Source organism: Homo sapiens, chromosome 1, assembly GCF_000001405.40.
Source record: "Homo sapiens chromosome 1, GRCh38.p14 Primary Assembly".
NCBI classification, from domain to species: domain Eukaryota; kingdom Metazoa; phylum Chordata; class Mammalia; order Primates; family Hominidae; genus Homo; species Homo sapiens.
The window spans coordinates 23,505,212-23,531,279 of record NC_000001.11 but is presented as its reverse complement, the minus strand read 5'-3'; the positions used below and the strand labels follow the sequence as shown (position 1 = coordinate 23,531,279).

At 51.6% G+C, this 26,068-nt stretch overlaps 1 protein-coding gene and 1 long non-coding RNA gene across 11 annotated transcripts, besides 4 other annotated features; one reads left to right on the top strand and one right to left on the bottom strand.

Annotated features, from left to right (window-relative positions):
- On the top strand, positions 47-26,068 carry E2F2 (E2F transcription factor 2). 10 transcript variants are annotated; one of them, XM_047448091.1, is made up of 8 exons: positions 47-738; positions 6,792-6,897; positions 9,224-9,443; positions 10,209-10,367; positions 12,150-12,264; positions 14,753-14,945; positions 21,132-21,341; positions 25,095-26,068. In XM_047448091.1, the coding sequence occupies exons 1-8, from the start codon at positions 487-489 to the stop codon at positions 25,100-25,102; spliced, it is 1,263 nt and encodes a 420-aa protein (XP_047304047.1). In that variant the 5' UTR covers positions 47-486; the 3' UTR covers positions 25,103-26,068. The 10 variants fall into 10 exon arrangements, with proteins under 10 accessions (XP_047304047.1, XP_047304048.1, XP_011539172.1 ...); XM_047448092.1 differs by lacking the exon at positions 21,132-21,341 and having other exon boundaries at positions 9,224-9,437; XM_011540870.4 differs by lacking the exon at positions 21,132-21,341.
- Positions 493-641: a silencer, noted in NCBI's record as "fragment chr1:23857131-23857279 (GRCh37/hg19 assembly coordinates)". NCBI's record gives its function as "represses an EF-1alpha promoter that drives an FKBP-Casp9 reporter gene in an ReSE screen in HepG2 liver carcinoma cells {active_cell/tissue: HepG2}" and the evidence as "EXISTENCE:reporter gene assay evidence [ECO:0000049][PMID:32094911]".
- Positions 2,649-2,778: an enhancer, noted in NCBI's record as "active region_365". NCBI's record gives its function as "activates an Ori minimal core promoter by ATAC-STARR-seq in GM12878 lymphoblastoid cells {active_cell/tissue: GM12878}" and the evidence as "EXISTENCE:reporter gene assay evidence [ECO:0000049][PMID:35858748]".
- Positions 2,797-2,993: a silencer, noted in NCBI's record as "fragment chr1:23854779-23854975 (GRCh37/hg19 assembly coordinates)". NCBI's record gives its function as "represses an EF-1alpha promoter that drives an FKBP-Casp9 reporter gene in an ReSE screen in K562 erythroleukemia cells {active_cell/tissue: K562}" and the evidence as "EXISTENCE:reporter gene assay evidence [ECO:0000049][PMID:32094911]".
- LOC101928163 (uncharacterized) lies at positions 2,861-9,350 on the bottom strand. The gene is made up of 3 exons (NR_110799.1): positions 9,295-9,350; positions 4,210-4,350; positions 2,861-3,875 (listed from the first exon to the last, which is right to left on the bottom strand). It is a non-coding gene; the product is annotated as an uncharacterized LOC101928163 (long non-coding RNA).
- Positions 9,280-10,479: an enhancer, noted in NCBI's record as "BRD4-independent group 4 enhancer chr1:23847293-23848492 (GRCh37/hg19 assembly coordinates)". NCBI's record gives its function as "activates an origin of replication core promoter dependent on BRD2, P300/CBP, MED14 and CDK7 cofactors, and independent of BRD4, by STARR-seq in HCT116 cells {active_cell/tissue: HCT116}" and the evidence as "EXISTENCE:reporter gene assay evidence [ECO:0000049][PMID:35650434]".

The following is a 26,068-nucleotide window of genomic DNA, read 5'->3' as shown; positions in this document are numbered from 1 at the left end:
GACGTTTGGCGCTAAAAAAAAAAAAAAAAGAAGAAAAAAAAGAGGCAGAGAAAGACTCAAGGACTAGAGAGCGAGCCGCAAGGAAGTCGGTGCAGTCGAGACCCCCCTCCCCATCCCAGCGCATCGCGTCTCCGCCGAGCTTGAGGGCACGCCGGGGACCCCTCCCCAGAGCCGGCCGGACCCCAGGTGCCGAGGCCTTGGGGAGCGCGGGGCGTCCCGGGTCGCGGTGCCCTCGGGACGAGACAGCCCCTGGCAGTGCCACCACCGCAGCCGCCGGGCGATCTCCAAGCGGCGATCTCTAAGCGCTGCTCTCTGCTCGGCCGCGGGCCAGGAGGGGAGGGTCCGGCCTTGCCCCGCAGGCGTCCATTGGCGGCTTCCCCCGGCCTCCGCGCCATGCCGCGGGCCGTGTGAAAGGCGGCAGCACCGGAACCCGCAGGTGTCCGCGGGCGCGCCAAGCCCTTTTGGGTAGGGGGCGCCTTACTCGCTATGCTGCAAGGGCCCCGGGCCTTGGCTTCGGCCGCTGGGCAGACCCCGAAGGTGGTGCCCGCGATGAGCCCCACAGAGCTGTGGCCATCCGGCCTCAGCAGCCCCCAGCTCTGCCCAGCTACTGCTACCTACTACACACCGCTGTACCCGCAGACGGCGCCTCCCGCAGCGGCGCCAGGCACCTGCCTCGACGCCACTCCCCACGGACCCGAGGGCCAAGTTGTGCGATGCCTGCCGGCAGGCCGGCTGCCGGTAATGCTGGGGGCCCCCACCGCTTCCCCCTATGCTTTTCCAGGTGTGGGAAAGGAGGGAGGGGTGCCTGAGATCCAGTTTGAGTGGAGCAGGTAGAGTTTTGGGAAGAGGGAAGATGAGCTTTCAGTTTCCAGGACCCAGTGCCCCCAATATCTGAGTAGAAGACCCCTTCATTTTCAGACTTTGGATGAAATAATCTCATCCATTCTAGTGGAGTGGAATGAGCACTGGATTGCGAGTCTGGAGGGAGACCCAACTCACTACTCCCAGTGCACTGTGTGACCTTGGGGAAGTCCATGCAGCCAGCGTTGCCGCCATTCATTCATTACTTCATTGTTTGGCCAGAAACCAGTACTGGGTGCCTGCTATTGTCCAGGCAAAGAGTATGGCCTGGGGACACTGTGGGACTTTGGTAAGACAGAGGGATAGGTCTAGTGGGTCTCTCACATCCAATCTGCCATGGACAGACTCCAAATTGTCCAGCCAGCTCCTGAGATAGCCCCAAGTATCTGCCCTAGGTCCTCCCCCAGGCCCAGTCTTCCCTCCCAGACAGCCATGTAGCAGATACAAATGTGGGCAGCCCCCTTGGGTTCTGTTCAGATTGGCTGCTCTCTCCTCAAGCTCCCAGGCTCGTTGCCAGAGAGGGCCCAAAGTGTAGTGGCACCAGGCTGCCTGCTGACCTGGGCTCAGGGTGTGTTTTGTGGGAGTGGAATTCCTGGAGCCCGTGTGAATCAAAACAACTTTAGGGTGGGGGGTGGAGTGGGAAAAGCCTGGGGGAGTGGAGGTGGTGGTGGTTGAGGAGCCTGGTTTCTGGTGTGACTCTGCCACTAATTCTCTGTGTGTCCTTGGACAAGTCTTGGACCCAGTCTGGGCTTCAGTGTTCTCTCCTTCACAATGCGTGTGTGCACAGGGTGGCTGTGGGGCTAGCTCTTCTCAGCCACATTCAGCTCCAGGTCCTGGGTTTTGGAAGCAGGCTCCAGGGAGAGGAAGGGGGTGTTGTAGGTTTGCTTAGTTGTGAGTTTGGTGAATAAGTTCGGGTACAGGGATAAGACCACCCCCCACTGCCCCAGAGGCATCTGGTCAGACCTGTGCTAGTCAGCAAGCACGGATGCCCAGCCAGCTCTGGATGCAGGCAGAGCCACCACTCCCTGCCAGTGGACTCAGGCTTTGCCCATGTTCAAAACGTTAACCTTCCTGGAGACCCTTCCTGCACATGATTTCTAACTAGGAGGGCAGTGGGCAGGAATGGTATTATCCCCATTTTACAGGTTAAGCAACCGAGGATAACTGGGATTGGGTATCTTGTGTTCAGTGTTTTATAGCCTAAAACATCTTTGTAGTTCGTGAAATAGATGGCATTAATAGCTCCATGTTACAGGGGGAAACTGAGGCTCAGAGAGGGGATGTGACCTAAGGTCAGAGATGGGGATGGGGTAGAGTGATGGGACTCACAAGGCAGTCAGCTCTTCTGTCTTTTATTTTTTATTTTTTGTAGAGACAGGGGTCTCCCTATGTTCCCCAGGCTGGTCTCAAACTCCTGGGCTCAAGCAATCCTCTTGCCTCAGCCTCCCAAAGTGCTGGGATTACAGGCATGAGCTAGCTACTCTAATGCACCTGGTCAGGCAGCAGGCTCTTCTCTATGTAGCCTTGACTTTTTTTAATACTGCCTAACTTAGGAGCTGAGCTCCCCCCAGGGAAGGGAGCTTTGCGGCAGGCCCACTCTCCTCTGGCCAGCTGCTTTCAGACTGGAAGTTTCAGTAACAGCTGTGGTTTTACACTGCTTTGAACCCTCCCAGAGGAGCCCAAGTACATCTGTCTGTACCTCCCTCCCAGAAGGGCTCAGTGATCTTAGCAAGAAGGTCTCTCTTTTACTGAGTGCCTCTCGTGTGCCAGACACTGCTTGGCACTCTTCACGTTCATTATCTTGGTCAGGATGTCCAGAATGAGGCACCTTGCAGATAAGGAAACTGAGCAAAGAAAGGAAGTCACTTGCCTGGGTCACAAGTGAAGAAGCAGGGGAGTCTCCTTGCAGCAGACCACCCTAAAGCCCTGCCAGGCCCAGAGCTCCCGCTCCTGTCAATCCCCAGATGCCCGGGGCCCAGCCCCGTGGGCAGGCCTGCCCTCTGCTTACTCATTTTACAAGGGCGTGACCTGGAACAGCTCCAAACCCAACCCTGGGTGTGGCCGCTTGCTTTGTGGCCGGGCTGCAAAGTGCAGGGTGAGCAGGATTTGTTGTGGAGCTTCTGTTTAAAGGGACCTCAGGCACTGTCCAAGGATGGCAACCAAGTTCAATGGCAGAATGAAGGCCACAACCCAGATCTCCTGGCTCCCTGTCCAGAGCTCTTTCCAAGTCCTCTGAGGAAGGCTCAGGGAATGCCCCTTTATCGCATGCCTCCTCTGGCCAGGCGCATGGCATCATTCTCTTTCACGCCTGCAGGAAGCTCTGCCCAGGCTGGCTTGCAATAGCGCCATCTCTGCTCACTGCAAACTCCACCTCCCAGGTTCAAATGATTCTCCTGTCTCAGCCTCCCAAGTAGCTGGGATTACTTTTTGTATTTTTAGTAGAGATGGGGTTTCACCATGTTGGCCAGGCTAGCTTCGAACTCCTGACCTCAGGTGATCCACCCGCCTTGGCCTCCCAAAGTGCTGGGATTACAAGCGTGAGCCACCACGCCCGGTCCTCCTTTTCTTTCAATTTGTCTACATTTTCCAGATTTCCTCTTGTGAGGCATGAAAGAAAATAAACATTTTAACACACAACTCTACAAGGCAGGTCAGGTGAGGAGGTGTAGGCTCAGAGAGGCAAGACAGTGAATCCCAGGCTGTTCAGCTACGAAGTGGCAGAGCTGGGATCTGAAAGCAAGGTTCGACCCCTTACATTTGCTCCTACCCCCACCATCTGACTTAGGGCTTAGGAGAGACCAGGCTCCACTCTGCGTGACCTTGGGCAAGTCAATTCCTCTTCCCCAAGTCCCAGTTTCCTCACCGTGGTGCCCGTAAGGGGGTTGTGCCTGGTGATCTCTGACCCTCTGCACTTCTGCAGCTGCCTGAGGAAGGAGCTGTACTCTTCTCCATAGGGGTTGGCAGGGTGGGCTTGCGTCCTGACCAGGCCTTGAAGATCCAGCCAAAGGGGCTGCCTAAGAGCGTCCAGGATAGGGCTAAGCTGGCCTCTGGCTGTGGCCATAGCCTTTGCTCTCCTCCCCTCATCGCAGTCTCTTTTCAGCTCACCCTTGAACTTTCCCCTTTTCCCACTGGTGCTCCCCATACATCAGTGCTAGCAGCTCCCTGGTGGGGGCACTCCCTATGGGCAAAGCGCTTTGCTGCACTATCTCACTGAATCCTCAGCATAGGTGGAGACAATGATGCCCATTTTATAGGTGACTTGACGTCAACTGATTTCCCAGCTAAGAAGGGGAAGGCCTAGATGCAAAGCCAGGCCAGTCTGACTCCAAGACCTGTGCTCAGCCTCACCTTGATGCTGATCCTCCTGGGCTTGTCCTCTGCCACCTGTGTTCTGCAGGTTCAGCCCAAGCCATAGGCTGACTTTCCTCTGGGCACTGTCCAAAGGTGTCAGGGAGGTATCCTTAGGGGGACACTTGCCGCATTGGGACCCTGGGAGTGCAGAATAAGGGTGAAGGAGAGTGAGAAAAGAGAGAAGGCTGTGTGTGTGTGTGTGTGTGTGTGTGTGTGCAAGTACATGCAGTGATGGGGGCAGGTGGGCGTAGCCCAGGCCTTGGCCCAAATTCTAGCAAATCCTGGGGCAGCGTGTGTGGGATGCAGCTGAGGCAGCCTGGTACATGGCTTTGCAGTCAGACAGGCCTGGGTTCAAACCCTGGCTCCGGCCTTTGTGTGACCTTGGGCATGTGCTTACTCTCTGTAAGTCTCCATTTTTTGGCTTCCGAGAGCCAGTGCCAATACTGATGTGGTAGGACTGTTACGAGCATGTAACAGGCTCAGCATAGATATTCTGTTCAAGGTCTTCCTGGGATTCTTTCTGGTTTGTTCTGGCGGGGGAGACAGGTGTGGCTGGGGAGGCTCTGGGCTGCCCCACCTCTGCCTCAGGTAGAACTCCACCTGAGCTTCCCTTCCTCTCCCTGCCCTTGGTGCTCCTGCTGGGGGATATATGAAGAATACTAGGATGTGCAGCCTTGGTCAGGATTGATGGAGGCCTCGGAGCTCCCCAAGCCTCAATTACTTCAGCTGTACAATGGGGATTAGTGGTATGGGAAGATTCAGTGAAGTGATGAATGTTGGGGCGTGGTTCAGGGCATGTGGAAGGTCTCAGCCAGTGACTGGCCCTTTCTCTAGTGACAGCATGGGGCTAAATCTCTAGAATATAGGATTTCACCAGTTAGGAAGGTAGAAAAGGAATATTCAAGAGACTCATTCAAGAATGAGCAGTAAAGTGTTTGGATGGTTTCCAGGTCTCGGTAGTGGTGGAAAGCAAGAGTGTTATATCCAGGCTCCTCAAACCAAGGAGCAGGGCTCCTCACATCAGCCCAGGAAGACTTCCTGGAGGGGGCAGGAGTGGGGGAAGGGGAACTGACAGCAGGAAGAGCTGTCACCACCTCCAACACCTGTCAGCCCAGCTGTGCTCAGCAGCAGTTAGAAGTCTCAGCCCTGCTGAGCATGACCTCACCACTAAATGTTAAAATAGGCCTCTCTGTCCAAGCCAGGGTAGGGGTGTCTGGGGGATCCAGAGTTGGAAAGAGGAAAGAAATGGGCTCGATGACCCCCAGAAGGATGTATGAAGGAAGAGGTCGAGATTAGATTTTAGGGAAGGGACTCTGTGTTTCCTGAACACCTACTGTGTGCTGAGACACAGGCTGAGAACTTTACAGAAGTTAAAGGAGCAGGAGCTAACCAGGGTCTTTCTCCCACATGCAGACAGGGAGCTAAATAAGTGCTTCAAAGGGAAGCCACGCGGGGATTAATTCAGCCTGTTCCAGGGTTTTTAAGATGCAGAGGCTGCCCAGGTAGTGCCTTCCTTGAATCCTTACAATAGCCCCTTGAGGTAGGCATTTTTACCCCATTTACAGAGGAAGAAACTGAGGCTCCTTAGATGTGTAACATTTCCCCCAACTTGTACCGTGAGCCTGCGAAGGAGCTGGAGATTCAAGCATGGGTCTCTGACCTATGTCCCAGTGTCCCAGTGCCCCAGCTCTGCCCCTGCCCTGCCCCTGCCCAGCCCTAACCAGGAGAGAGGCCCTTTCCGGGCCAGTGCAGCTCTGGGCCTAATTGGGGCCCGGGTGGCAACAGGGTGGAGAGGAGCAGATGGGTCTGTGGTTTGATTTCCCCAGCAGGTGTTTCCCAAGCTTGGCGGGAACAGAAAGGGGGAGCTGGAGGGGGGGGGTGGCCTCAGCTGCTTGTCCTTAAGACACGGGAAGGATTCATTGTCTGCCCCTCTCGGCAAAGAAAGAATGGCAAATGCAGTCTATTCAGGAGGCCCTGGGGCCCTCAAGCTGGAGCCCAAACATGGGGGTGGGGATGTTTGCACTGCTTCCCACTGTGGGCACCTCCCTGGGTTGTGGCACTGAGCCAGGAAGTCCCCTGGGTCTGGGCGGATGCCCAGCCCCGCCCTGATAAGGACCAGCTGTGGGACTGTGATGGGCACTCAGTCTAGCTGGGCCAGCTGCTTCTGTAGGGGGGCCCTTTCCCCACCCTGATGTGGTTTAGGCCCCACCCACTGCTTCCTCCTGGTATCATCCTCTGGGTGTGGTGGGGTGAGGAGCAGGTATAGGAGCCGGCTTAGGGCCCGTGGTTAAGGAGCTCTGAGCCCTTGGCCAGACTGGCTTTGGTAGGGTCTCAAGTGCCTGGGCCTCAGAGGATGGGAGTTTTATTTGCCCTTCAGAAAACAAGATTTCCCCTGAAAGCTCACTTCTCAGGTCACTGATGTTTTCCTATCAAGTACAGCAGTGCTTCACCAGGACTGGCGGTAAACTGAGGCACAGAGGTGGCTGCTAAGTGGCTTCATTGCTTTGGCCCCACATCAGGGAAAGGCTAAAGGAGGAATGATTCTCAAACTCTGCCTCTCTCTCCCCCTTTTCTCCAAGGCCAAAAGGAAGCTGGATCTGGAGGGGATTGGGAGGCCCGTCGTCCCTGAGTTCCCAACCCCCAAGGGGAAGTGCATCAGAGTGGATGGCCTCCCCAGCCCCAAAAGTAAGCAGTGCTGATGGGGCCTCTGGGGTGGGGTGGGGCAGGGGCAGAGGGCAGTGCCCTGCCCAATCACTGGTAGTCATATTTGGATCACTTTCCAGTTTACAAAAGCTTCCTGCGTATTTTATTATTTGATCCTGCCAGGTAGGTAGGCTTGTCTGTCTTTACTAATCAGGCAACTTGAGACTCAGAGAGCTTGAGTGACTTGCCCATAGTCTCAGAGTGGAGTCAGGACTAGAGCCTGGACATGTAAATCTTGCATTACTTCTGTGTTTTTTTTTGTTGTTGTTGTTGTTGTTGTTGTTGTTGTTGTGAGACAGGTCTCGCTCTGTCACCAAATGTGGATTGCAGTGGTGCCATCTTGGCTCCCTGCAACCTCCACCTCTGGGGTTCAAGCAACTCTCTCACCTCAGCCTCCCAGGTAGCTGGGACTACAGGTACATGCCACCATCCCTGCCTAATTTTTGTATTTTTAGTAGAGACACAGTTTCACCATGTTGGCCAGGCTGGTCTTAAACTCCTGACCTCAAATGATCCACCCGCCTCGGCCTCCCAAAGTGGTGGGATTACAGGCGTGAGCCACCATGCCTGGCCAGTCTCGCACTACTTCTACCATACCATGTACTGCTCTCATGATCTAAACTCAATGACCAGTGTTTTATTTGGGAATTTATTATTTTTAAAACGTTTTAATGTTTAGGTCAAGGTAAATTTTTCTAAATCAGAAGAGCAGGGGCTAACCAGGGTCTTTCTCCCACATGCAGACAAGGAGCTGAATAAGTGATTCAAAGGGAAGGGAAGCACAGATTAATCCAGTCTCTGCCACCCCAAAGGTTTTTAAGATCCAGAGGCTGCCCAGGTGGTGCCTTCCTAAAGCTAAGTTGGAGGGGGTTGCTGCCTCTTGATATTTTCAGTCAATATCCTGGATAGGCTGAGCGTGGTGGCTCACACCTATAATCCCAGCACTTTGGGAGGCCAAGGTGGGCAGATAACCTGAGGTCAGGAGTTCCAGACCAGCCTGGCCAACGTGGTGAAACCCCGTCTATACTAAAAATACAAAAATTAGCCGGGTGTGGTGGCGCATGCCTGTAATCCCAGCTACTCAGGAGGCCAAGGCAGGAGAATCACTTGAACCTGGGAGGCAGGTTGCAGTGAGCCAAGATCGCACCACTGCACTCCACTCCAGCCTGGGAGAGAGAGTGAGACTCCATCTCCAAAAAAAAAAAAAAATCCTGGTTAGAGCAGGAGTTAAAGCAACTGTGTTTGGGAGGAACACTAGTTTTGGGGGTCCAGGTAGGATTCTGCTCCGACCTGACAGGTCACTCCTGTGAACCTTAGTTGTTGTGAACCTTAGTTGTCTTGTGTAAAAGAAGACACAGCTAGATCAGGAATGGCAAGAAAGTTTCCTCTACATTTGATTGGTCAAGGCTGCCCAGAGCACTGTCTTGAAGGATCCTGAGGCTCATGATAACTGGTCCTCCTCCAGAGGAACCTAAGACTCTAAAATTCAGGTTCCAGAATTACTGGATTGGCCACTAACTTGCTATATGACTTGGAAGTCACTCGATTACAAAAGTCCCCTCGTGGTTTAAGATGCTGCAGCTGAGATGTGGTCTTGCAACATCAACCTCATTGAGAAAGGGACCTTTCTCATGAACCTCCCCGACTTGATGTTACAGGACCGATTTTTCTCAGATAATCATTGTGATTCACATGGGAAGAAAAAGCAAGTGTGTGTCTATAAAAATGCTCTTAAATCCAGGCTTATCATTTCTACCCTATTCTAATTCCAAACTCCGGACATTTAAGTGGCAGGATAGGGTAATGGTTAAGGAAAACTCTGGAGTCAGACTGCCTGGATTTGAATTCCAGCTTTGCCACTTTCTAGCTGAGTGAGCTGAGCAAATTACTTAAACTGTGCCTCAGTATTCTCATCTATAAAATGGGGATGATTGTACAGCAACCCTTACAGGGTGTTGTAGGGCTTAAATGTGTTCGTACATGGAAAGCACTTAGAACAGTGACAGTAGTTGTGGGTGGTGGTCTGGCAGCCCTAAGCTGTGGTGGAAATGTGCATTTAACCAGGAGTCAGGACACTAGGCTTCCAACACTGCCCATTGGCCGTGAGACCTTAAGCAAGTCACCTTCCCTCTTAGGTATCAGGTTCCCTGTCTGGACAGTGGTGGTGATGGATGCCCTGGCTCACACTGCTTTGTAAACTGGAAAGTGGGTGGTGAAAGGTGGTACTTAATGAGCCTAGGTCAATGGACGAGGGTCCTGGGCGGGCCCTCCCCTCCCTGAGCTGTGACTGGGTCCCTTTCTTCTTCAGCCCCCAAATCCCCCGGGGAGAAGACTCGGTATGACACTTCGCTGGGGCTGCTCACCAAGAAGTTCATTTACCTCCTGAGCGAGTCAGAGGATGGGGTCCTGGACCTGAACTGGGCCGCTGAGGTGCTGGACGTGCAGAAGCGGCGCATCTATGACATCACCAACGTGCTGGAAGGCATCCAGCTCATCCGCAAGAAGGCCAAGAACAACATCCAGTGGGTGTGAGTGCCTGGGCGGCCAGTGGTACCCTCCAATGGGTACTTGTGCTGTGGGCGGAGCCAGAGGCAATAGCCAGTGGGTGTGAGTGGCAGGGGCGGGGCTGAGAGCAACATCCAATGGGCACAAGGGCTGAGGCGGACCAAGAGCAACATCCAATAGGCTTATTGCTGGGGGTAGAGCCAATGTATGGTGAGGAAGAGCGCCGTGTACCTGCTGAAGTAATCGGAGAACGTGATGCGGGGCAGAGTGGAGAATGACATCTGGGAGGTGTAAAGGCCAAAGGGAACCTCAGATTCTTCCTCTTGAGTCAGAGATCCCAATATCCACTTCTTCTAGCTTAGGGCAGTCCCCTGGGAGCTAAGTAGGGGGATCCCGGACTCCTTCCAGATCTGAGATAGGAGTACTCCAGCCTCCTCTCTCCATTTCTACAGGGTTTAAAGAGCTGACCTATAGCCCTTGGCATAAATCCTAAGAGAAACCAGGCAGGGGAGGGAGTCAGGACTGAGGCTACTCCAGTTGGAGGAGGCTGGGGCATAGGGATGAACAGAGTCGAGAGCCCCTCAGAAATGGGGTTCAGGTCTTGACTTGTTTTTTCTCCCAAGCCCAACCCCCAAACCTCTGGTTCCAATCCCTGGTAGCTCCCTGAGAGACAGGCATGACCACTGATTTCCACAACCCAGGGAAGCACCCTCATAGACTATTTTTTGAATGACCTTGTTCTGGAGTTTCACCCACAGACTGACACTGGGGGGCTGCTCTGTTCCCAGAGGCAGGGGAATGTTTGAAGACCCCACCAGACCTGGGAAGCAGCAACAGCTGGGGCAGGAGCTGAAGGAGCTGATGAACACGGAGCAGGCCTTGGACCAGCTCATCCAGAGCTGCTCTCTGAGCTTCAAGCACCTGACTGAGGACAAGGCCAACAAGAGATATCCTCCTTGGTTGGGGGAAGGTGTCAGGGAGCAGGAACCTGTTGCATGTTTATATCTATCCTGAGTTGATTCAGTAACTTACCCTAAGGGTCTGGCATCTGTTTCTTCCTTCCTGGGTGGCTTTTCTTCTCAAGTCTATTTTTAAAATTATTTATTTATTTTTTTTAGAGACAAGGACTCATTCCGTCATCCAGGCTGTAGTACAATGGCATGATCATAGCTCGCTATAGCCTCGCCCTCCTGGGTTCAAGTGATCCTCCCACCGCAGCCTCCTGAATAGCTGGAACTACAGTCATGTGCCACCATGCCTGGCTAATTCTTTATTTTTTGTATAGACAGGGTCTCGCTTTGTTGCCCAGGCTGGTCTCTAACTCTTGGCTTCAGTCGATCCTCCTGCCTCAGTCTCCCAAAGTGCTGAGATTACAGGCATGAGTCACTGTGCCTGGCCTCAAGTTTATTAAAGGTATTTTTTCATTATTGAAAATAAGCCAAGTAAATTTCTTTAAATCTGGAAAACGGAGAAAAAGAATGATGAGCTGCCACCTTAACATAGCCATTGTTCTTGAACTGCACACAGAATGTGTTTTATTTCAATATAGTTGTAATGTAGTTGTGTGCCTGCTGAACATAGCTTTTTTTTTTTTTTTTTTTTTTTTTTTTTTTTTTGAGACAGAGTCTCACTCTTGCCCAGGATGGAGTGCAGTGGCACAATCTCGGCTCGCTGCAACCTCCACCTCCTGGGTTCTAGTGACTCTCCTGCCTCAGCCTCCTAAGTAGCTGGGATTACAGGTGCCCGCCACCATGCCTGGCTAATTTTTTTTTTTTTTTTTTGAGATGGAGTCTTACTATTGCTGCCCAGGCTGGAGTGCAGTGCCATGATCTTGGCTCACTGCAACCTCTGCCCCCTGGGTTCAAGCGATTCTCCTGCCTCAGCCTTCCAAGTAGCTGAGATTACAGGCGCCTGCCACCACACCCGGCTAATTTTTGTATTTTATGTAGAGACGGGGTTTCACCATGTTGGTCAGGCTGGTCTCGAACTCCTGACCTCAGGTGATCCACCCACCTCAGCCTTCGTAAGTGCTAGGGTTACAGGAGTGAGATACCGCACCCGGCCTTCACACCCAGCTGATTTTTGTATTTTTAGTGGAGATGGAGTTTCACCATGTTGGCCAGGCTGGTCTTGAATTCCTGACCTCAAGTTATCCACCCGCCTCAGCCTCCCAAAGTGCTAGGATTACAGGCATGAGCCGCCGCGTTCGGCCGAATATCTTTATACATAGAATGCTTTCCCATATTTTTACTTGTTTCCTAGGTCAGATCCCTAGGATTGAAATGATGAGGTCAAAGAGCATGGACTTTGCTAAGGCTCTTTCATACATTTTCCAAAATCATTTCATATCTAATTGGTTTTGGATCTGACCTTGTATTTTTGGAAGGATGCTAGGCATTGTGAGAAATATAAAGAAATAAAACACATCTTCCTGCCTTCTCAGAGCTAATGATCTAGTTTGAGAGATGAAGCCTTTACATAAGGCAACATTTTTTATGATTTATAATGTAAGGCAACATTTTTTATGATTTATATTCCCATTTGCTTTCCAAAGGGATCTAAGGTAGCTTATGAGATTAACAGGTTACAGATTGTATTATTTCTAAGTTGTACAAGGAGTGAGAAAGTAATGTTCAGAGGCTTAGGAGAGGTGGGTGAAGGTGCTCCCTGGCAGGTTTGGGGTTTGAATTTTGACCAGACAGTCACTTTTCTTGACTCTCCTGCCCTACGCTGGCCTATGTGACTTACCAGGATATCCGTGCTGTTGGCAACTTTAAGGAGCAGACAGTGATTGCCGTCAAGGCCCCTCCGCAGACGAGACTGGAAGTGCCCGACAGGACTGAGGTGAGAGGGGAAATATTTGGTGGAGAGCAGGGTTGAGACCCTGCCAGGGAGCGTTCCAGGCGGCTCTGCAGACTCTGTCCCTGGCACTGCCTAGCCCCATGCTTTGCAGGCCCATTGTGGTGTCCATGGCAATATTGGTGGCCTTCAAGCTTGGGCAGAAATGGCAGAAGCTGGAAAGGGCAACGGAGACTGAGTAGTGGCCTGAGAAAATCTCTGTTCCTGGTTTCTTTCTGCATCCCACCAGCCCTGGGTTCCTGCGCACATGCACACTCATGCCCACGTATGACGGTGTCAATACTCATGAAAATCCTTTCATGCTGACCGTGCTTTCCCAGGTTAAAGACCAAAATTCCTGACACTCCCTATGAGGCTTCGGTGCTCTGAGACCCCAGCTGACGTTGCCAACCTCCTTTTCCCCGCTGCCCCATCTGTCTTTGTTTTGGCCACACTGACCTGTCTGCAGTTTCCCCATTGCACTAAGCTCATTCCTAGTATGAGATCTTCTGTTTTGTTTGATTTATTTATTTATTTATTTATTTATTTTTGAGACAGAGTCTCACTCTGTTGCCCAGGCTGGAGTGCAGTGACACAATCTTGGCTGACTGCAATCTCCGCCTCCTGGGTTGAAGCGATTCTCCTGCCTCAGCCTCCCAAGTAGCTGAGATTACAGATGCCCGCCACTACTCCCGGCTAAGTTTTGTATTTTTTTTTTAGTAGAGATGGGGTTTCACCATGTTGGTCAGGCTGGTCTTGAACTCCTGACCTCATGATCCACCTGCCTCGGCCTCCCAAAGTGCTGGGATTACAGGCATGAGCCACCACACTCAACCTATTTGATTTTTTTTAAGACAGCGTCTTGCTCTGTCACCCAGGCTGGAGTGCAGTGGCATGATCTCAGCTCACTGCAACCTCTGCCTCCCGGGTTCAAGCCATCCTCCCACCTCACCCTCCTGAGTAGCTGGGACCACAGGTGCATGCCACCATGCCTAGCACATTTTTTGTTTTTTTTGTAGAGACGAGGTTTTGCCACGTTGTCCAGGCTGGTCTTGAACTTCGGCATAGAAGTGATTTGCCCGCCTTGGCCTCCCAAAGTGCTGGGATTATAGGCGTGAACCACCGCACCTAGCCGTGCAAGACCCTCATACATGCTCTTCCCCTCGAGCTGAAATGTTCTTCCCTCTCTGCCTGATTTACCGCTATTCATCCTACAGGTCTCAACTCAAATGTCACTTCCTCAAGGAAGCCTTCTCTGATTACCTCCAGACTTCATAAACACCTGTGCTTTTCCGCTGCCTTTAATTTAATCTCCATTTGCTGAGGTATATTTGGCATGATTACACGATTGCATTCTGCTTCATCTATTAGGGTGTAAGCTTCACAAGAGAATGTTCTACTCACCTTGTATCCCTTGCCCAGAGCCTGGCATATTATAAGGACTCAAGAAATAATTTATTTAAAGGAAGAACTGGGGCTGCAGAGACAATTAAGGTCCTGCCCCCACCCTTGGAGGAGTTCACGACTTAGTGGGAAAAAGACGCTGTCATTTATAGACTGAAGATGTGCTTTGCAAGCATAGAGAAAGGGTAGTTAGAGGAGGTATCCCAGGTGGGGACAGTTAAACTAGGTCTTAAAGAATGAATAGGGTTTTTGCTAGGTGCAGTTCTGTGTGAGTACAGGCATGGAGACCTGGACATGTGCCTGGATGGCATGCATGTCATCAGTTGTGGCTTAAGTTGCGGTTATGTGGTAGGGAAGGGACAGGGTGGGAAGACCAAATACTAGGACTCTTGGTTACAGGTAACAGAAAGCCAAGTCCAACTGGCTTCAGCGGGAGGTATGGGTAGGGGTGGTGGGAACCAAATGACAAGTCCTGGGGGAGATTCAGAGATTGCTGGCAAGGTTGGATGTAGATGCTCAAACTATGACTTCAGGTCTGTCTCACGCTTTTCATCTCTCTGCTTTTCTCTGTGCTGACTCCATTCCCAGGTGGGCTCTCTCCTTGTGGTGGTAGAGGTAGCTTTTATGATACCAGCTCAGCAACCCCAGTGGGAAGGGGGCTTCCATTTCCCACAAGTCCAGCAAAAGTCCTGGGCCTAGTGCTGGTTGGATCCACCTGAGCCATGGGCCATCCTGAACCAATCATGTCACACTAACTTTCCTGGCTGCGTCACAAGCTCACCCACTGGCATTGGGGAAGGGTGCTGCCCCCCCCCCCCCGCCCCAAAACTAGATGACCTGAGAGTGGGGGGAAGAGTGATTTCCCACAGGAAAATCAAGGTGTTCCCCCTAAAAGAAGTGGGCTTCAGGGCCAGACAGCAGAAACAGCGGAAGTCCACCTTAGTTAGGCCAGATGGAGTTGGTCTCAGTGCCAGCCCAGGGTTTGAGCTTGCACCCATGGATGGCAGCAGCCACGTGCGTCTGTCCATACACACTAAGTGTAAGTGTCCAGCTGCCCAGAGCAATGACCTGGCTTCTCTTCCTCCTCCAGGACAACCTGCAGATATATCTCAAGAGCACCCAAGGGCCCATCGAAGTCTACCTGTGCCCAGAGGAGGTGCAGGAGCCGGACAGTCCTTCCGAGGAGCCTCTCCCCTCTACCTCCACCCTCTGCCCCAGCCCTGACTCTGCCCAGCCCAGCAGCAGCACCGACCCTAGCATCATGGAGCCCACAGCATCCTCAGGTAGGTCCCTTGTCCAGAGGGACAGGAGGTGGGGGGAGAGACCGGCCTTAGTTTTCTCTTCTATATCAATGTTTGTTGAAAACCTCCTGTTTTATCCAGCAGCTGGGGATGTAGTCATCCTACCCCACACATGTGCATTGTACTTAATGCTTTATAAAGCCTCACTAGGAAGGCTGGTGCTGCTCCAGGGCAGAGGAAGGCCTGGATTTGAATCCCAGCCCATCCACTTACCAGCTATGTGACCTTAGACAAGTTACTTAACCTCTCTTGGCCTCAATTTTTCTCATCTGTGAGTTGGGCGCAGTAATTAATACTGTCTAACTCATAGGTTGTTGTGAGATTATATAGCTCACGCCTATAATCCCAGCAGTTTGGGAGACTGAGGCAGGAGAATCATTTGAGACCAGGAGTTCAAGAGCAGCCCGGGCAACATAGGGATACCCTGTCTCTATAAAAAAATTTACAAATTAGCCGAGTGTGGTGGCACACGCCTGTAGTCCAGCTACTCGGGAAGCTGAGGTGGGAGGAACACTTGAGCCATGGAGGTTGAGGCTACAGTGAGCTCTGATCATGCCACTGCACTCCAGCGTGGGCAACAGAGGGAGACCCTGTCTCAAAAATAAAAATAAGAATAAAATTTTAAAAAATAGGCCAGGCGCTGTGGTCCCCACCTATAATCCCAGCACTCTGGGAAGCTGAGGTGGGAGGATCACTTGAGCCCAGGAGTTCAAGACCAGCCTGGGCAACATAATGAGACTCCATCTCTAATAAAAATAAAATAATAAAATTTGCCCATTAAAAAAAAAATAAGACATAGAGGTGATGTGTCTTACCTAAGGTCTCCCAGCTGGGAGGCAACAGAGCTGTGTCTTGAACCTTGGTCTACATACTCCCAGCCCAGTGCTCTCTCCACAAGGCATAGATCAAATCGAAGAAGGGGCTTCTGGCTGGGAGGTGGACGGTATGGTTAAGAGCTGGCTACCCCTGATGGAAGGTAGTACAGGTAAGTTGCCAGGGAGCAAAGTTCCTGAGAGCTTCCCAAGGAGGGTGGGAGTCCAGAAGGAGTACAAATGGAAGCCTGTAAAGGCCCCTCTCCAGAACAGTTTTTGCCTTTTCCTGGATCACACATCCGGCTAGACTGGCAGGATTCTTCAAGGCTATGTAGGCCAGTGTTCCACTTTTTGTCTTCTTAGCAGCAGAATTCTCTTAAGTAGAACCCTAGCGTTTAGACCAAGGTAGAGGTAGAGCTGGGCTGATGGAAGAGGCTTGCTGGAAGGGCTCTGCAGTACACTGGTTGTGTCCATTTCTCTAACTCAGAGGTTAATAAACTATTGCCTGCAGGTCAAATCTGACCTGCTTTTAATGACCCATGAGCTAAGAATGGTTTTACATTTTTAAAGAGTTGTGGGAGAAAGAAAAAGAAGGCAACTATGTGACAGAGACCACAAGTGTCCCACAAAGCCTAAAATACTCTCCAGCTTTTTTTTTTTTTTTTTTTTTTGAGACAGTCTCGCTCCGTCACCAGGCTGGAGTGCAATGGTATGATCTTGGCTCACAGCAACCTCTGCCTCCTGGGTTCAATCAATTCTCCTGCCTCAGCCTCCCAAGTAGCTGGGATTACAGGTGCCCGCCATCACACCCAGCTAATTTTTTTTTTTTTTGTATTTTTAGTAGAGACAGGGTTTCCCCATGTTGGCCAGCCTGGTCTTGAACCCTTGACCTCAGGTGATCCACCTGCCTTGGCTTCCCAAAGTGCTGGGATTACAGGCTCCAGCTCTTTATAGAAGTTTGCTGTCCCCAACTAACTCAACCCTTCTTTTAACACATGAATGAACACAGGCCCAGAGAGGGCAAGTGGCTTCCCTAAGGTCACACAGCAAGTTGATGGCAGAGCTGGGACCAGAGCCCAGCCTCCCAACTCTTCTCTAATGATCTCTCCTGTGTCTGTCAGGCCTCATCAGGGACCAGAGCTTCTCCCTGTGCTAGCCATCTGTCCCTTGGGACACCTCCCCAGTGCCTATCTCCCATCCCAGACCTCTGCCCCACCCTCTGGTCCATCCTCCTCCTGCTGTGCCTCCTCACTCAAGTGTCAGCATGCGCATAGCCCTCCGAAGCTGGAACCACCTTCGCTTCAGTTGTCCTCTGAGACCTTGGGTGGAGGTGGCAGATCCCAAAGCATAAACAAGGGTGTGAAGTTGTTTTTTTTTTTTTAAGACAGAGTCTCACTCTATCACCCAGGCTGGAGTGCAGTGGCACAATCTTGGCTCACTGCAACCTCCGCCTCCCAAGTTCAAGCAATTCTCCTGCCTCAGCCTCCCGAGTAGCTAGGAGTACAGGTACATGCCACCATGCCCGGCTAATTTTTGTATTTTCAGTAGAGACAGGGTTTCACCATGTTGGCCAGGCTGGTCTCGAACTCCTGATCTCAGGTGATCCACCCACCTCAGCTTCCCAAAGTGCTGGGATTACAGGTGTGAGCCACCGAGCCCAGCCGGGTGTGAAGTTTTTACCTGAGTTTTACAAATCAAGATCCTGAAGCCCAGAGAGGAGCAGAGGCTTACACAGCAGTCTGGTGGGGCCAGCTCTCATGTCATGGCTGTCCCCACGACCCTTGTCACATGGCCTCATAGTATTATCCCTGCTGAAGGGAGGAGGAGGAAGTTTTCCTGGTCTTGGCTCACTGCAACCTCCGCCTCCCAGGTTCAAGGGATTCTCCTGCACAGACACACACACACACACACACACACACACACACACACACACACACACACATGTTCCGTGCTGTGTTCTGAAATAGTATCATTTTGAGGTCTGAGTGCCAGAAGCCATGTAAGAGAGGAAGCCACTACAGTCTTGGGACCTGGGTCCTGGCCCTGGTTCTGCATTACCAGGGGAAGTGTTCTCTGCAGCCTCAGTTTCCCTCATCTGTAATGGAAGGGGTTTCAACAACATCATCTCTGACATTTCTCCAGGCTCTGACATTCTGAGATACACCTAAATGTAGCTGATGGCACAGGATTTGAAATTGGGAGACCTGTGTTCAAGCCTGTATCTCACTTCTTAGTGACTTGGTGACTGTGAGTGAATCACTTTAACCCCCCAAAGCCCCAGTTCCCACATCTCTCAAATGGGGACACTTGAAATTTCCTCATGAATATTGAATGGGTTATAGAAGATGACATGGCATAAATGTGATTTAAAAAAAAAAAAAAAAAACTTATGTGGCCAGCCGCGGTGGCACACACCTGTAATCCAGCACTTGGAGAGGCCGAGGGAGGTGGATCACTTGAGGCCAGAAGTTCCAGACCAGCCTGGCCAACACGATGAAACCCCGTCTCTACTACAAATACAAAAATTAGCCGGAGGTGGTGGTGCATGCCTATAATCCCAGTTACTCAGGAGGCTGAGGCACAATAGTCACTTGAACCAGGAAAGCAGACGTTGCAGTGAGCTGAGATTACACCACTGCACTCCAGCCTGACCGACAGAGTGGGACTCTGTCTCAAAAAAAAAAAAAAGCTTGTGTGAAGAGCATCTACTGAGCTGGGCCTGGTGCTGTTTTAGAGACAGAAAAGCAGTAAGAGCCATTCAGAGTGTGGTGGAGAGACACATATTACAAAAGGCGATTCTATTTCTGGACGTGATCAACAGCAGGAGACAGCAAGGTCTGACCTATAATAGAGATTTTCACATGTGTTTTATCAGTTACTGCTTCTAATACTCATCCCTGTTTTTCCACATGAGGAAACAGAGTTCTGGGGTTCCATGGCTGGTGAGAGGAGGCGCTAGAGTCTGAGCCCACATGCTCCCCGCTCCCAAGCCAGGCCTCTGACTGTAACATCAGCAGCGTGCCAAACAAACCTTAGATTTTTTTTTTTAATTAATATACATTTAATGGACTTCTTTGGGCCCTAGTTTTCTCATCTGTAAATAGGGGTAACAGCATGGACTCCCTCAGGGCCATTTGAGTGTGCAAGGAGGCTGAACCACGCCTCGCCTCAAGGGCAGTGCCACCACCTCCCCCATTAGCCTTGGTAAATGGGAGCAATTTTTAACAGGAGCAAGGGCAGCATGCAGACCCGACAAACCAGTGCTTATTTATTTATTTGTTTGTTTATTTATTTATTTTTATTTTGAGACACGAGTCTCGCTCTTGTTGCCCAGGCTGGAGTGCAGTGGCGTGATCTTGCCTCACTACAACCTCCACCTCCTGGGTTCCAATGATTCTCCTTCCTCAGCCTCCCTATTAACTGGGATTACAGATGCCTGCCACCATACCCAGCGAATTTCTGTATTTTTAGTAGAGACGGTGTTTCACCATGTTGGCCAGGCTGGTCTCGAACTCCTGACCTCAGGTGATCTGCCTGCCTCGCCCTCCCAAAGTGCTGGTATTATAGGCATGAGCCACCGCACCAGGCCAAACCAGTGCTTCATATGCACTTACCATGCGGTCCTCTGAGCAACCCTTTGAGGTAGGTAGTGCTATGCTGCCCCATGCAGAGGGGAGAAAATGGATGCTCTAAAACGTGAAGTCCAGAGCAAGACTCCATCTCAAAATAAATTAAATAAATAAATAAAATGTGAAATCACATGCCTATGGGTGCACCACCAGTCTCAACAGGCAGCCTAGCATCCCAGCGCAGTTGTATCTTCAGAATAATACTTGGCTGGGGCTTAAGGAGTGACTGCAATGTGGGGGATTCTGAGCATCAGGATATATGTGGCAGGCAATTTCCAGTGCTTCATTGCATGTCCCTGTATGGGAAATCACCGTCTTAACATCTAAGTGGAAATGAGCAGGTTGGGTGTGGTGGCTCATGTCTGTAATCCCAGCACTTTGGGAGGCTGAGGCAGGAGGATTGCTCGAGCCTGGGAGTTCGAGACCAGCCTGGGCAACAGAGTGAGACCCTGTCTCTACAAAAAAGTTTAAAAATTGGATGGGCATGGTGGCACGCACCAGTGGTCCCAGCTACTCAGGAGGCTGAGGCGAGAGGATTGCTTGAGCCCAGAAGGTTGAGGCTGCAGTGAGCCGTGTTCACCCTACTGCACTCTGTACTCTAGCTTGGGCAAGACCCTGTTTCAAAAAAAAAAAAAGAAGGCGGCGAGAAAGAAATGAGCATAGAGTGCTGGAGAATGGCTACTGAAAGGTCAAATAAGATGAAGCCAGAGAAATGACCATTGGGTTTAGCAGCATGGATGTCACTGGCTCAGGGACATGGTGGGGAGAGACCCCAGACTGGAGTGAGTTGAAGAGAGAATAGTAATAGGGAAGTGGAGACAAGCTGAGGCTACTCTGGAGAAAGTTTACTGTGCAAAGGAGCAGAAAAATGGGCCAGTAATTGGAGAGGGTGATGAGGTCAGGTATAGTTGTGTGTGGTGGAGAGTAGAGGCAACATAACAAAAATTTACCATCATAACTATTTTTAAATGTACAGTTCAGTGGTAATTAATACATTCATAATGTTGTGTAACCATCACCATTCATCTCCATAACTCCTTTCACCTTGTAAAACTGAAACTCTGTACCTATTCCCCATTCCCCTCTCTGCCCAGCCCCTGACAACCACCCTTCTACTCTCTGTCCCTGCGATTTTGACTAAGTATCTAATGTAAGTGGAATCACACAGTATTTGTTTTTTTGTGATTGGCTTATTTCACATAGTTTAATGTCCTCAGGGTTCATCTATGTTGTAGCATGTGTCAGAATTTCTTTCCTTTTTGGCCGGGCACAGTGGCTCAGGCCTGTAATCCCAACACTTTGGAAGGCCGATCACTTGAGGTCAGGAGTTCGAGACCAGCCTGGCCAACATGGTGAAACCCCATCTCTACTAAAAATACACAAATTAGCTGGGTGTGGTGGTGCATGCCTGTAGTCCAGCTACTCGGGAGGCTCAGGTGGGAGAATCGCTTGAACCTGGGAGGCAGAGGTTGCAGTGAACCAAGATCACAACACTGCACTCTAGCCTGGGTGATAGAGTGAGACCCGGTCTCAAAAAAATAAAAAATACATGAAAAGTTGTAGGGTTGGGTGTAGACTCTGGAAGGTGGATTTTGAGAGCACGACAGTCCACCCAGGCTAAGGAGAGAGAAGAAGGGTGCAGTCATCCAGAGAACCGGAAGTCTGTCCTCGCGTGCTGAGGAGTTGGATGCTAGGGCCAGGCGTAACCTTTGTCTGTTTGTCTCCAGTGCCAGCACCAGCGCCAACCCCCCAGCAGGCCCCACCGCCTCCATCCCTGGTCCCCTTGGAGGCTACTGACAGCCTGCTGGAGCTGCCGCACCCACTCCTGCAGCAGACTGAGGACCAGTTCCTGTCCCCGACCCTGGCGTGCAGCTCCCCTCTGATCAGCTTCTCCCCATCCTTGGACCAGGACGACTACCTGTGGGGCTTGGAGGCGGGTGAGGGCATCAGCGATCTCTTCGACTCCTACGACCTTGGGGACCTGTTGATTAATTGAGTGGCCCTGCCTGCCCCCAGCAGCCTGCCCCCGACTCTACCTCCTCACAGACAGGCTGACAGCCCCTCTGCCTGCACAGGGACATTGGACACTAGGTGCTGCCCTCAGGGCATGGGGTCTCCTCGCCTTTCCTGCCCCAGCCGGCAGAAGCTGTGTGGGGAGATATGAATGGTACGGGTGAGGAGTGGATAAGGGGTGGTCCTCACCTTCCTAATGGAAGCTGGGCCTAGGGAGGCCCATCCAGTCTTCTGACTTCTGACCTCTCACAAGAAGGCTGCAGGTGAGGTGGCCAAGTCCAGGGAAAGGCCCTGCTACCTCCTTTTGAGGGGTAATTAGGACCCTCGACGTACCAAGAAGCACATAATGCCTTTGTATTTATTTCAGGTTGAGTTGTTTGTTTGTCCTCCCTGAGTTTTAGCAGGGAGGTTGTTCTAGTTTTTAGTGAGACCTCTGCAGACAGGCCCATCACTGTCCATGTTCCAGGGCAGGTCTGGGTTTCCAAGGGAGGGGCCCAGGCTACATCCTTGGTTTCCCCACTGTGGTGGGGGCTGGGACTCTGAGGGGCTGTCCAGTCTGCTAGAATGCTAATTGCACTTAGGCCTCATGGTTCTAGTAAACGGCAGCTGTGGGCCCTTTTGCCTCTTCCCCTGTTCTTGGCCTCACATCTCCAGCTGAGCTGCCGGTCTTGGCTTCCTGGTCGCCTCTGTCCCAGAGATGGTCCCAGGGAGCCATCCTAGGGCAGGTAGCACTGAGGCTCCTGTGGAAACAGGAGCCACCTGCTCAGGAGACCCCTTTCCTGAGGAAGTCCTTACCTCTCCCCTTGAGATGTAAAAATGGTCCAGCAGAGACAAGCTCCCGTGGAAAACAGACAGGAGCATGGGGGCAGCTGTCATGGCTGTGGCGGGCACTTTTCCTCAGAGTTTCTGCCTTGCGCTGGTCCAGGAGCCATTTTGCACCAAGGACTTGGTAGGCAGAGGCAGCCCCACTGTAAAGAAGGGTCAGATTAAAACAAAAAACTGCCAAAAGCATCCCCTCTGCCCCCCATGTGGCACTGGCATCATTCTCTGCTTCCCTGGGAGGAATTTTTTCACCATGTTATTGAAGGGGATGGTTCATTAAGGACTCCACCCCTCAGAGCTCACTCAGACCCCAAGGACAGAGGTGACTGGGGCTTGGTGACTTGTTCACTCCTTTTTTCCCAGGTATACTGAAGGGGTGACAGAGAGAGGTCTTCATGGCAGACCAGGCCTTCACAGCTAATGGGGAGAGGAACTCATGTTACCTCTGCAGGCCTGGGGTCCTGAGGGGGTCTTTTGGCTTCAGCCTGTTCCCCCAGAGGCTTGATCATCCCACATTGTCCCTTCAGCTCAGCTGCTCTTCTCCCCCACCCACCCTGGGATGTGGGTGCTCTGGGCTGAACCAAGGCTATGACTTCTGGAGAGAGGCTCAGGGGTTGGTCTGAGAGGCCTGCCATCCACCCCTCAGGGAGCTAGGTTTTCTCAGAGGCTCAGCTGGACAGCACTTTTTAGAAAAGTTTGTAGCATTAAGCTGGTTTAAAATATGAAGTTGGTTTTGTTGGATGGCTCCTGAGCTGACTGACTGATGTCTGAAGTTTGAGACGAGGGATTATTTCAGGGTGGGGCCCAATGTGATCTAATGCCCAGCTGGGGACAATTGTGCCTCATCATTTGCTCAAATTCCTGGGCCCCCAAGTTAGCCCCCTCCCAGGAGTGGTCAGCGGGTCACAGCTGCCCCCACTCTATAAGCAGGGCTAATTGTGTACCCTTTGCAGAAATGCTTTTGGTCTCCTACCCAAATACTCACAAGGGTCTTATCAGACGCCCGTCTTAAAGTCCAGCATGCTCAGGGACCCTGTGTAGGATCTCGTTTGTGGTGAGTGGGCTGCTCTGAGGTCTCCACTGGGCTGCCATTTAGCCATGTGCCATCTCTGAAGTCAGAGGTGTTTGACTCCCATTCCTTGGGCTCTGGAGCTTTCCCCAAGAATTACATCAGAGAAAAGGAAGAAGGGGCCTGCAGGACCCATTGGGAATGAGTTTAATACTGAAGTCTGGAATGTAAGCTCATGCCCTAGAGGCCTCTCCATATGGCTGGTCAGGGGAGCTGCCTTCAGGCTTGTGCCCCGTGTGCTCAGCAGCTGCCTCTGTCCCCCTCTACTGTCCCTTTCACACCTTGCCTGGCCAAGGGGCTAGACCTCCCAGGCTAAGCCTCAGATTCAGTGCAGGACACAAGCTCATGCCCCCGTCTTGCCAGTGACACTTGAAGCCTCCCGACTTCCACAGAGTGCTTCAGGACACATTTTGAGTGGTATTTTCTTTTCTTTTTTTCTTCTTTTTTTTTTTTTTTGAGATGGAGTCTCGCTCTGTTGCCCAGGCTGGAGTGCAGTGGCCTGATCTCGGCTCACTGCAACCTCTGCCTCCCAGGTTCAAGCGATTCTTCTGCCTCAGCCTCCAGAGTAGCTGGGACTATAGACATGCACCACCACGCCCGGCTAATTTTGTATTTTTGGTCGAGACGGGGTTTTGCCATGTTAGTCAGGCTGGTCTTGAACTCCTGACCTCAAGTGATCCACCACCTCGGCCTCCCAAAGTGTTGAGATGACAGGCACGAGCCACCAGGCCCAGCCTGAGTGGTATTTTCTTTAGGGACCAGGTAGACTTTAAAACGAGGGTAAGAGAAAAGCCAGTGTCTTTCTGAGGTAAATAATTTCTGCCAGGAAACTTCCCAGCCCCACCAGCAGCCCCCCTAAAAAAATCACTCGTGTCCCCAGGGACTTCTAAAGCTTGGGGCTCCAGGAAATCATCCAGTAGAGTTGGAGATTCAGAGATTTCTTGAAGCCAGGGACATGCTCCTAACTCCTTTCCCATTAAAGGTGTTAGAATAGACCAGAGGGTGTCCCTTTTCCACAGTAATGGGATCGGCTGGTGTGCCTTCAGGGAGGAAGAGGGAGGTGGTCAAGCTTGAAAAACTGGCTTTAGGATGGTTCTGACTTTGTTCTCCCTCCCCAAGTGTTCTCAACCTCCATTCTGCAGTGTTCAGAGTTTTAGGGAAAGGGTTTGGGTGCCCCAGCATCCAGGTGTTGTGTGGCTTAGCGCATGTGAAGTGAAAACCTTCTGGGGTTGTTTGGAAGCAGCTTTCTGGTTCTTGTGATTGTATCCTGAGGTCCCAGAACCCTATTCTCCCACGAGGATCCTCAGTGACCATGGTGGCCACACGCCTGGCCAGCCTGCTGGCTCCTGGGTGAGCTGAAGAACCTTGCCTGTGGCACTTTTCGAGGGTGAGCTGGAACCGAGAGAACATGGTCCCCGTGCTGGGACTCATGCGGGTCATTTCCTGCCGGCCTGGTTTCGCCTGGTCGTGTCTTTATGAGCACCATGTAAGCCTCCTTGTATTGAGATAATTGGGCATTAAACATTAAACTGCAGCTCTGGGCATCTTGTCTTTGTCGTGCTTTCTGAAGCTCATTACCAACTGTGGATCTGGTCCCCGCAGGCTGGGTGTTGGGGGCTGTCCTGGCCAATGCTGGGGGCACATGATTGCCCAGTGGATTTCCCTCCAAGATACAGTCTCTTATCACCATGCCTGCAATCTCACCATTAAGGCACTGAAAAGTTCGCAGCACCCAGATCTAAAATGTGATCAGCCCTGACTCTGTCTCCCCCATCTATTTCCACAGCTTCCTGAAAGGTCTTGCTGCCCACACTCTCCCTCCCACCCTCTACATCAGTGGGTCCAACTGTAGTCCTCAGACCAGCAGCAGCAGTATCACCTGGAAATGTGAGACATGCATATTCAAGACCATGCCTCACGCTGGGTGCGGTGGATCACTTGAAGTTAGGAGTTCAAGACCAGTCTGGCCAGCATGGTGAAACCCCATCTCTGCTAAAAATATAAAAAAATTAGCCGGGCTTGGTGGCGGGTGCCTGTAATCCAAGCTACTGAAGAGGCTGAGGCAGGAGAATCGCTTGAACCCAGGAGGCAGAGGATGCAGTGAGATCACACCACTGCACTCCAGCCTGGGCTACATAGTGAGACTCTGCAAAAAAAAAGGCCAGGTGCAGTGGCTCACGCCTGTAATCCCAACACTTCGAGAGTCCAAGGCGGGCGGATCGCAAGGTCAGGAGATTGAGATCATCCTGGCTAACACAGTGAAACCCCGTCTCTACTAAAAAAATAAAATAAATTAGCGGGCATGGTTGCAGGCGCCTGTAACTCCAGCTACTCAGGAGGCTGAGTCAGGAGAATCACTTTAACCCAGGAGGCAGAGGTTGCAGTGAGCCGAGATGGCGCCATTGCATTCCAGCCTGGGCAACAGAGCGAGACTCCGTCTCAAAAAAAAAAAGAGACCTTGCCTCAGACCTGCTGAATAAGAAACTCATGGGGCGGGACTCAGTATTCTGAGGCTCCATGAACCTCCCAGGTGAGTCTAATGCAGCTGAAGTTTGAGAATGCATGCCTTCTGCTGCCCCAGAGAGATCTTTCTACACTTGATCTTAGCCAAAAGGCTGAGAAGCGATCCCCAGAAAGATCTTTCTAAAATGTAGTTCTAATCGCGTTACTCTCCTGCTTAATGCCCATCCATGGCTCCTCTCTGCCCTCGGGATGAAGTTCTAACCCTTTTGCATGGTATAAATGGCTATTTACAACTTC

Excerpts from the sequence above, each read along its gene's own strand:
- E2F2 (NM_004091.4), top strand. The coding sequence starts at position 487 with ATGCTGCAAGGGCCCCGGGCCTTGGCTTCGGCCGCTGGGCAGACCCCG. Across the intron at positions 739-6,791 it reads TGCCGGCAGGCCGGCTGCCG|GCCAAAAGGAAGCTGGATCT; the intron begins GTAATGCTGGGG and ends CTTTTCTCCAAG. Across the intron at positions 6,898-9,223 it reads TGGCCTCCCCAGCCCCAAAA|CCCCCAAATCCCCCGGGGAG; the intron begins GTAAGCAGTGCT and ends TTTCTTCTTCAG.